The sequence below is a fragment of the Homo sapiens genome, chromosome X (genome assembly GCF_000001405.40).
Source record: "Homo sapiens chromosome X, GRCh38.p14 Primary Assembly".
NCBI classification, from domain to species: Eukaryota; Metazoa; Chordata; class Mammalia; order Primates; family Hominidae; genus Homo; species Homo sapiens.
The window spans coordinates 68,869,269-68,880,272 of NC_000023.11; the positions used below are offsets into that span (position 1 = coordinate 68,869,269).

The 11,004-nt window shown below is 52.0% G+C and overlaps 1 annotated feature.

The window, feature by feature from the left end:
• Nucleotides 10,155–10,743: an enhancer, noted in NCBI's record as "H3K4me1 hESC enhancer chrX:68099266-68099854 (GRCh37/hg19 assembly coordinates)". NCBI's record gives its function as "activates a minimal SCP1, AML or CMV promoter by ChIP-STARR-seq in primed H9 embryonic stem cells {active_cell/tissue: H9 hESC(primed)}" and the evidence as "EXISTENCE:reporter gene assay evidence [ECO:0000049][PMID:30033119]".

Here is an 11,004-nt window from a genome sequence, read left to right on the forward strand (position 1 = left end):
TTATTTATGTGCTTCTACACTCTCCTGGCCTGTAAGCTCCATGAAGGCGGGGGTTGCTGCCTGATTTTGTTCACTGCTGTATCTCAAGGAGCAAGATAATGGCTGGCACATAGTAGATACTCACTGAACATGTGTGGACTGAATGAATAAGCACTTTACAATGCATCAGCTTCTTTCATCTTGACAACAATCTCATGAGAGTGGTAGTTGTCACCCCTGGGTTTCAGAGGAAGAAACTGAGACTTAGGGAGCTCGCTGAAAGTCCAAAGCCACACAGCTAGGAAGTGGTGTAACTGGGACTCAATCTCAGGTCTATTTGGCTCCAAAGTCCATGCTGTAACCACTCCCTCATGCCAGAAAGTGCCGTCCAGAGAAGGCTTGGGTTGGAGTCCACCCCTCCTTGCTCTGAGACCTTGGGCAAGTTCTCAAGCAGTTCTGACCCTCAATTTCCTCCCTCTAAACTGGAGATAACAATCATCCTTTACTTGCAGGATTGTTCTGAGGATTCCATGTAGGAACACATGCTAAAAAGCTTTATCCACTCTGTCAGTGGGTTCATATATAAGGGATTAATAATGTTGTTGGGCCTCAGTCTCCTAATTTGGATGATGTGCAGGGGTTGGGGAGGGTGTAGTGGGACTAGATCTCTGACCACCCTTCTAGCTCTGACATTCCAAGAATCCTTGAACTCCACTGTTGGTAGAAATGAATTGGGTTTAAATGTTCCAAATTGCGAACATTGTGAACACAGGGGCCTCTACTTTGGTCATCAAAGCTTCATCTCTGTGGATGTGGGAGGCCTCTTTGAAGCTTGAGGGAGGTAAATTGAGGACAAATCAAAGGAAGTCCTTTTTCACCCCAACTTAATGAGCTTATGGCTTTCATTACACACAGGAGTGGTCCAGGCAGGAAACGGGAATGGCTTTGGATAAAATGATAAATGCCAGAGACATGGTTGGCTCTGAGCAGGAGCTGGCAGTACTGACCTCTAAGGTCAATGGGAGGGAAGCGGCCCCTTAGGGCCCAATCGGAGACTAGCCCTAGGCTTTCAGAGCAGCAGTTCTGGGTGATGGAAATTGGAGGTGGAGAGGTCACCAAACCCATCTACCTGTACTGCCTCCACCTAACTCCATTAGTTTAGCTCCTGGCTGGTGGGGAAAGGAGGACTTGGATAGAGCAGTCACAGGAACTACAGAAGAGGCGGCAGGGTACAGAGATTCCAGATCCCAACCTCCATCCACCTTCCCAGGCAGGCTCAGGCTGACTGTGCCAACACTCACCAGCTGCTGTGGGGAACACCTTGCACGTGATTTCCCTTTTCTTCTGCCTCACCCCCACCTACACCTGGTGACATCAGCTGGAAGGAAGGAATCCATCCCTTCTATACACTTCAGGGCAGCAGTAGCTTGGTGGCATTGGAAAATTGGTGGGGTTTGGCCCTGGTGCCCGCCTCTTGACCCTATTGAAGCCCCTCTATTTCTCCTATTCCTGTCCTTCTTCCAAAAGCCCGTCCGGCAGGGTCTTGCTCTCAGCTGGCTGTCAACTAAGGTGTTAGCTGTCAACTAAGGTGTTAGTTGTCAACTAAAGTGTTAAGTGATATCTAAGGTGTTAGCTGATAACTAAGGTGTTAGCTGACAACTAAGGTGTTAGTTGATAAGGCTTAACACCCCCCAAGGGGTATGTGCATTTTAATAGGGGATTGCTGAAAAGGAATGGCCTTCAAGACTCAAATAATATATGCTATATTGGTGGAATTTCAGGTAATGGTGCTGATTATGGGTGGAGGTGTGGGTAGTCCCCTCTAAATCATACCACTTAGGTAATCATTTATTCATAAGGTTGCACACAAACCACATGCATGCACTCGCACACACACATATGTCACTTTTGCAATAAGGTTCTGAATTGTGTGTATATAGGTATACATTTTTGAGACGTGTAATAATAACAACAAACACTCTAGCACTTACTCTGTGCCAGGCACTGTTCTGAGCACTTTACATATATTAACTTATTTCATCTTCACAATAGCCTTATGGTGTAGGTACTATTGTTACTTCAATTTTACAATTGAGGAATCTGACGCTCAGAGAGGTGAGATGACTTGCAGCCAGGCCACACAGCTTGAGTGTGTTGGAGCCAGGCTGTGTAGATGGCCAGTGTGACTCTGGTGTCCATATGCCACTGCCACATGGAATGCTTCTTCCCTGGCTACACAGTGAGATACAATCACTGTGTTGTGGCCATGTCTTGGGGTGTGACGGGTGTGTGTGTTTGTTTGCAGGCATGCAGTCTGATTCTTGAAGTCCCAAACTACAGGGCTAGGCAGAAGCCTTCTGGAGTGAAGAGTAGTGTGAGGGTTGCACATTCTGTGCCGGGATGTGCATGTGGGTGGGATTGTGGCTTTGCTGCAGGATGTCAGGGGTCGTGGACTGAGGGAAGTGCGGGTCAGCTACGGTGGGGGCAGATGCAGACCCTGTGCAGTGTGCTGGGGGCTGAGGGAGGGGCTGTGTGTGTGCTCACATTTTGAGCTCGCCAGTCCCCCGAGGCAGTCCCATGCCCAGGCCCTGCTTTGGGACTTGCCCTGCTGCCCTTTGGAGTTGTCCCTGTCAGAAGGCTGGGCTCTACAGGAGTCTACAGCCAAACCATAAGAATCAGCCTCTGACCGGCCAGGGGAGAAGGTGAAACCAATACCCAGTGAGTGCAGACAAGGAGGAATGAATTGGGGTGTGAATTAAGGGCATGTGTGAGGGGAGGGTGGCATGAGGTGCGTCTTAACTGCTAGGGATTCTACCAAGTAGGAGCAAAGGTGGGAAATGTGTGTGTGTGTGTGTGTGTGTGTGTGTGGTCCTCCTCCTCCTTGAAAGAGGGGAATCTGGGAAACGAGATATGCAAAGAGGCTTGAAGGCCTATAGGTTTTTTCCTCTGAGCACTTGGGAACCACCAACTTATTTTGCAGGTGGGAGAGACATGTTTGGATGAAACTTGTAACAAAAGTTGCTCAGCTTGCAACATGAAGAAGGTGGAGTGGAAGGGGCCAGGCCAGGTGTCAGGGAGACCAGCCGGCAGGCTGCAGGGCCCTGGCCTGAGACCAAGCAGTAGCCCAGGCTGGGGTGTGGCTGTGGGGAAAGAGAGAAAGCCCTGGAATTCAAAGACACCGTGGAGTTAAAATTGCAGGAGCCAGAGGAGGGAAGGAGCCTGTGACCCTGTTTGCTGGCTCTGGGCCTGGCTGCCTGGCTAGTGGGTTTTGAAGCCAGGGGCTCAGGAGAAAAGTCTGAATTGGAGACAGATTTTTAAAAATTTGACACATAACTTTTTACTGCTTTTTCTTATTACAAAACAATGCATGCTTATTAAAGAAAAGATGGAAAATATAGACATGCAAAAAGAAGACAGAAATAATTTTCAATATTCTTGCCAGAGATAATAAATGTTAACACTTTGGTGTATTTCCTCCTTGTAGTCTTTCTTCACTGAACATATTTACTATTTTGGTTTTATAAACAGGTCTTTAATGTATGTTGCAATCATTTACTGACGTTAAATTTAATCTACAAGTTCTTTTTGTTATAAAGTATTCAATGCTATGGGTAAACTAGAATTTATTTACTCAATCTTCTATTGTCATTGTTAAAATTTCCCTATTATAATTACTGTTGTAATGAGTATCTTTCTGGCCAGTGAGATGGAGATTTGGAAGTTGCCCGCCCTATCTCTGTTGACCCCCTGTGTGTTGGAAACTCTGCCAGGGAAAGGCAGTGGGATCTTGGACAAGCGCCTTTCTCCCTCTGGGGCCTCAGTCTCCCCACCTGTGCAATAGAGGAGATTGGACTTGGTGCTGGTGGGCTTTCTATGGCAATGTAGGCCCTGTCCCCACTGAGTTATTTCTTTGCTTTCATTCTCTTCAGTGCCCTTCTCTGGCCCTCACCTCCTTCCTTCCCTGGGCTCCCTGTCTCCCTTTTTTCATTTCCTCGCTTCTGCCCACCTCTCCTGTACCTCCTCTAGTCCTCCTCTCCTTGGCTCTCCTAGTGGGTCAGACAGCCAGTGGGCCCTGGCTCTTTCCCAGTTGGCCCGCTGATCTGACCCCTCTGTTGAACACTAGCCCTGCCTGGCAGGGGTCGGGCATTCCAGCAGAGACCTACCCAGATGCCAGAGCCCCAGGACAGCTCTAGTTGCCCCAGCGGCTACAGTGGCACTGGGCTTTCCTGGCACTGGATGTCAGGCAACTGGGCAGGCAGACAAGATACTCATGAAATAAAAACTGAGGCTAGGGGAAAGGGCAGGGAAGGTTGGGTATTTCTTGGGTTCATCCTGAAGGGGTGATATTTCCCAAGAGGGGGTGGCTCCATGCAGTAGAGAGCCATTGGATCAGAGGTTCTGGTTAATGGCCAGGATATCTGGACAGCTTCCAGGGGTCTGGAGACCAATTCTTTAAAATGAATTGTGAACTAGTGTGGGTGTGTGTTGCCATAGCCTTCTTCTTTCATTAAGACATTCAAGGACTCATGAGTTCAGAAAAAGATTAAGAAGGAGGTCATCTTGTCCCTAGGCTGGATCTACCTCCCAGTCCCACCCTGACACACACACACACATACACACAGAGAGACACTGGGGATTGACCTCAGTGATGTGACATCACTGGGAGGGTGACATTAGTGTCATGTAGGAAGTGCTCACCATGCATTGCTTTTAAGGATCACCATCCTTCTAGCTGCCACTCAGTGGTTTCTGCCCCTCTCAAAGTTCTCTTTGATGAGCAGAAGTTGCTTGGCCAGGATGCCAGGAGGCCAGGCTGGGGGCATCTGTGTGAGAAGTAGCAAAGGCCAGAGCATCTGCTGCCTAGAGCCCCTGAAAGTGCCTGAGGACTCCAGTGTGTGGAGCAATCCAGAGCTGGATTGGAGAGGATTAGATAATTGACCTCATAATTGACCTAATTAGTGAGTGGCTGTGTGGAGAGCCCTTGGGGACACTGGGCCCGCAGGTGGCACAAAGGCCAGGCAGAAATTCATAGAGGCTGTGAGAGCCGAAGCCTGGGCATTTGCCAGCAAGGGGCGGGGGCAGGGAGACCATAACAGGGAAAGGGATAGGACTTAAGGGCACCAAGCAGAGAGGGGCAGGGGTGGCAGGGGTCACTAAAGAGAGAGGGAGGAGGCAGGAGAGGCCTTTCAGAGCAGAGAGATAGCATCTGGGGGCCTGGGAAGGGAAGGGTCAAGATCTGGGGACATCAAGGGGAGAAGGCTAGGGACCAGGGGAATTGGTAAGGGGAGGGGACAAGGCTTGGGGACACTGAGGTAGGCCAGGGTCACAGGAGGGCCAGAAAAGACCCTGAGGGCAGAGAACCAGGGCCTAGGGGGGCTGAAGAGGAAAAGAGGGTTATTGAGGGAACAGGGCAGCAGCTGAAGGGAGGAGAAGGGCAGAGCCTGGGTGTTTTCTGGAGCCATGGGCCAGTGACGGAGCCAAAGAATCTGGCCCCAGTGCCCACATATGGGCAGTGTGTGTGTGCATGCATGCACGCACATGGTCAGTCTAAACCTACTGGGGCTATGAGGAACCTAACAGCATCTTGGTGGGAGGAGAGGTGGCATGGTACCATCGGGGATGGAGACTGGAACTCTTGTATCCCAAAGTTTGTTGAATGCTTGCTCCCGTGTCCCAGAGAACTTGGCCCCTGGGGCTTCTTCCCCTGGCTGCATTCTTTTGCCGTATGTTCATTGTGTGTCTATAAGATGCCAGAAAATGTTTTAGGAGCTGGGATCCATCAGTGATTAGATTCCACAGGGATCCTGGGGGAGCTACAGTCTAGTGAGGGGAGACAACAAATCAACCAGTCATGCAGTGTGTTTGAGCATGGTGAGTGCTGTGGAGAGGAAAGGGCCAGAGTATGGGAGAAAATGGAGGCCCAGGGTAGGGTGGGAGGTGATCTGCCATTGTTAATAGAGTGGTACTGGTGGATCTCATTGAGAAAGTGACAGAAGACATGGGAGTTAAAAGGTGAAGGGGGAGAGGGAGTGAGCCTCCTGTCTATCTGGAGGAAGAGCCCTGCAGGCAGAGGGTGTAGCAAGTGCAAAGACGCTGAGGCAAGAGAGTGCCTGGTGTGCTGGGGGAACAGCAAGGAGGCCTGCCTGGCTGCAGTGCATCAGGCAAGGAGGAGAGTGGTAGGGGGTGGGGGTGAAAAAAGCAATGGCAGGGGTGGAGTGGGGTGCAGGGCACATCAGATAGGGCCGTGATAAGAGCCATGGAATGGACAGTGGCATTTACTCCAAGTGGGATGGGAGCCCTGGCAGGGCTTGCAGCAGGGAAATGACAAGATTGAACTGAGTTTTAATGCAACCCTCTGGTTGTTTCCTGGAGAATAGGCTTTGGTGGGGTGAAGGGAGGAGCTGGAGAGCAGCAATCCTGGTGAGACACGAAGGGGGCTCAGCCAGGAGGAGAGTGGAGAGGTGGTTTGAAGGATGTGTCCTTGCCAGCCTCTCATGCTTGCCTGGCTCTGGCTGGGGTTCGTTAGGGCTGGGGTTCTTGAAGGGCCCTGTCTAAGAAGGGAGTAGGAATCCAGTTATATGAGTTCACGCTCATCAGGAACCTGGCATATTTGATTGAGAGATATGTCCAGTGATGCCCTGTTGGAAGCTGCTCATGAACAGGGCTTGGTCCTTGACACTTGGTGGGCAAGTAATTTACAGGGGAAATGGCAATGTTAATCCTGGCCCCTGGGGTGCTGGCAGTGTGGTCAAGGAGACCCAACACACACAGGGATGGGACCCAACACAAGCTAAGGAAGGGTCCACCCCCAGCCCTGATGTCTGCTGGAACAAAGAGAAATGAAAAAAAAAAAACAAAAAGCGGCGGGGGGGTGCGGGGGGTGCTTTTGGAGATGGTTCAGGAGAACACACCCGGGAGCACACATTCAGATCCTAACACCCATCACAAAAGTGACCATCATTGCACATGCACAGGAGCTGACATGCCCACTCACACCTACAAGCATGTGCACACACAGGCACGAATGCGTCACTCACGCTATCATACACCATGCAGAGCCTTTACCACGGGCCACAGCCCACTCCCAAGCCTCATCTTCCACCAGCCTCTGCTTCTCTCCTTCCCCACCCCGACCAAGTCACCTTCCTCAAATAGGCTGTTTCACACTATATCGTCGTGCTTTTTTGCACATATTCCCTCTGCTTTGGAATAATCTTTTTCTCTGACCTCCTTTGACAACTGGTAGCCTCATGCTGTAGCACCCACTGAGCACATCGAACTGGCATTACTTCTGCATTTATCCCTCTTCTCTGCAGTGGGAGCTCCCTAGGGCCTTGTCCGTCTTGTTTACCACTAGATCCCCAGATCAGTGCCTGACATGTACTAAGTGCTCAATAAATTGTTGAATGAATGCAGCCCTTTAAAGAGTAGAGGGTCTAGGTGTTGACAGGGAGGCAGATCCAAGATAAGGTGGCCAGAGCAGCCTGGGCCCCCTTCTCTAAGAGGCAGCAGTGATGACATCCCAGGGAGCTGTCAGGAGCCCCTGCTGTAGCTCCACAAGGCCCAGGGTCTGGCTTGCCTCCCTCTCCAGGCCTAAGGGAACTTCCTGGGACTGGGAGTGGGGGTTGGAGGGGAGGGGACAGGGAGAAGGAGCAGATTAATCTGGGGATTAATTGAGGGACTTGGCGGCCCAACAGCACGTGCTTGGGGCAGCGTCTCTAATGGTTTAATCAGATTACAGGCCTCGGCTCATGGTGTGTCCCAGCAGTGCCCAGCTCACCCTCAACAGCGACTCAGTTCCATGGCTCTCAGGTTAGAGCCCACACCCTGTGGTCGGGACCCATTTGGAAGTCCAGCATCTTGAGCCTCCACTGTGGGGACTCCCTGTCTGTCCAGTCTAGCAAGGTCCAGGCCCACTAAACAAGCTCATTCGAAGGGCACCGGGTTTGCATTTAAGACCAAAATGGGTTCAAAGCTAAGCTCTGCCACTCTCTAGCTGTGTGACTTCGGGCAAGTTATTTAACCTTTCTGAGCCTCAGTTTTCTCGTTTGTGAAAGGGTACAGTAACACCTCCTTCAAAGCATTGATGTCAGGATTAAACAAGATGCATTAAGTGAAAGTGCTTTGGAAGTGCTCCTTGTTGCTGGTGGAGCCTGTCAACCCTTTCTTCTCGCTGGTCCAGTTCAGCTGAGACCAGAGGTGAAGAATTCAGAAAAGAAAAGAATCATAACAATAACAGCAACAATAATTAGCAGCCATCCTAACAACAAACATGTGTGTGGGCACTTTAAAGTTGAGAAAGCACTTTTTTAAATGATCTTATTTAATACCTAGGACAGCCCTACGAGGTAGGCAGATGGGGGATGAACAGCCTCTGTTTGAAAGACAAGAAGTCAAGCAAGGCCAACAGGAGAAATGATTAGCCTCAGTCAGTGGCCGGGGCTTGTGCCCACAGAGGGAGTCCCGCCTGCCCCGGTGTGGGTAGGATGGTCAGGTACCAAATAAGTTAGGGGCCTCCAGGCTGAGCTCCCGGACCACCAGACAGCCTAAGGGTGGGAGCACCCGGCCTTGCCACTTCTCCTTTCTGCTTGAGGTTGTGCCAGGAGGAGCTGGGCTGAGGCCCTGGGGTTCGGTGAAGGTGAGAATCTGACCCAGCCGCCCCGACCCCACCATGGATCTGAGGCCTGAGAAATCTCAGACCCCAGGGCTGGGGCTGGGTAGGGCCGAAGGTGTACTCCATTGAGATATACCTGCAGGAAAGCCTGTGGCTCTCCTGGAAGCCAGGCCAGGTAGGCAGACTGGCTGAGGGGGCAGCCCGGTGCACCAGGGCACAGATGGAGGTGCCTCTCCGGGAGCAGACTGGCTTCCGGCCTCCTCTCCTCTCGCCCCCGGTAGTTTATTAGGAGTAATTTGTTAAGCTGTTCCAACTTGTCAGCAGCCACTTCAATGCTTCTGCCTCCTGCTTGCTTTTTTGGGGGGTCCAAAAATGTCAGGAGCCGAGGGCTGGGCTAGTGAGAGAGAGGAGATTGTCTGAGAAACACGCCTCCAGGGGAAGTGGGTGCCCAGTCCTCTCTCCACCACAGGGTGAAGAAGCCTTACCCCCACAGGGTGCCATGTCTGAAGGGAAGAGAGATGGGATAATGAGCCTCCTGCCCTCACAGCCCACCCTGCTCCAGTTTTGCTCCAGTCTCAGGGATACCTCTGGATACTCAGAGGTATCCAGGGAGGAACTGGTGGCTGGGGTAGGGGCAGGTTTTCGGGCAGCCTCTGATGGATAGGGGTAGAGACTGGGCCTGGAAATGAGGTGGAGATGGTAGGGGGTGCTGGGTTGTGGAATATTTGGGCCTCAAGCTGTTATTTGGAGCTTGGCTCCAGGTGGGGCGTCAGAAACCTGTGTGCAGGAGGAAACTAGATAGGAGCACAGATACGCACTCAGGGCCATCACACGGTGCCAGGCGCTGAGCTCTAGGCTTCACTGGCATTAGCTCATTTTGTCCTCATAACCATGTTGTTTGACAGGTGGGGAAACTGAAGCTCAAAGAGGTAAAGTGACTCGTTCAAAGTCATGCAGGTAGAAAGTGAAAGGGCTAAATTAGAACACAAATCTGGTCAACTCCAAGGCCTTCAGAGAACCAAGAAGTTCCGTCTGGTGGGCAGGCAGGCAGGTGAGAGAGCAGCTCATCAGCTCTCCTGGACTCAGGCCCTTCCCTGGGCCCTGGTTTCCTGCCCCTAGAAGAAGCGAGAGCTGCACCGGAGGGTCCTGGAGGATTTCTCAGATCAATGTTAAACTCCTTGCCATGGCCAGTCTGCCAGCTAGTCAGGGCTGGGAGGCAGGAAGGCAAGCCTGGAAGAGTTCAAGCCACCCTAGGATGAAGGAGGCGTGGTGGGGGGATGGTTCCTGAGAGAGCCAGGCCCATAGTACCAGACCAGGTGCGGCTTTGAGCAAGACTTGGCAAGAGGAGACAGGTCTGATGCGAGCTTTGGCTCTTAATCACTGCTCCCTCCCTCCTGCACGCCCTGCCACCCTCCCAGGAGCTGGGCACCATGGGGGGCTGGGAATGGGAAGGGCCTGCCTGCCACATCCCCTCCTCACCCTGTCCCTGCCCCATGGACTGTGGGGGAAACTCATTAGCTCGAGGGGCGCCCTGGCCCTCCCCTCACAGCTTGTCACACAATTAGCCACCCTCTCTGTACAAGTTGCTGTGTAATTATTGGGTCTTGGCGGGCTCAGGGCCATGTAATTAGCCTGCCCCAGCCTCCAACTAGCTCTCAGGGTCATTAGTGGGCCCACTGGAGGTAGGCGGATGGGCAAAGCATCTGCATGACAATGCACACATTGTGGCGCCTCTGCCTGCACCCAGGGCAGAGGGGCAGCTGGTGCCATTGTGTGGCCCAGCTCCTGGGCACATCTGCCCTCTACCCCAACCTCCTGCTCCAAAGCACCTCCAAACTGGCCAGTCCATCACAGGTTACGAACCCTTTTTTCCATCCTTTCTCTCCTGCAAGCTTCAAAATAACCCTGGATATAAGCACTCTGCTCATCCCCATTTCACAGATGAGGCAACTGAGGCTTAGAGAGGTGCCAAGACTAGGATCACTCAGCTCAGAGGTGGTGGAGCCACAGTTGGAACCCAGATCTGCCTCACCCATTCACTTTCTCCCCATGGTGAGCCTGGGAACAGACTGACTCATGAGGGTAAAGGCTTAATAGCTCAGCCAGGGGCTGCCCTGGGGAGCCTCTTTCACTCCCAGGGGCCTCTTTCCCTGGTCCTGAAGCCCTCTGCCAGCCTGCTCCTGGGCCACTCCACAGCCTCTTCTTGAGCCCTCCTTTCAGGAGTTGTCAGAATTCTCCCCCAAGCCGGCAAGATGGGTGACTCTCCTAAGCTTTTGGACTTCCAAGGGAAGAGCAGCCAAGACCCTCTTGGTACCTTTGACTGTCCGAAAATGTCCTTTCTCTTTGTAGCCAGTTGCATCCTTGGAGAGCTGACCGTGAGCATTCCTAGCTTCACGATGATATTCCTTCAG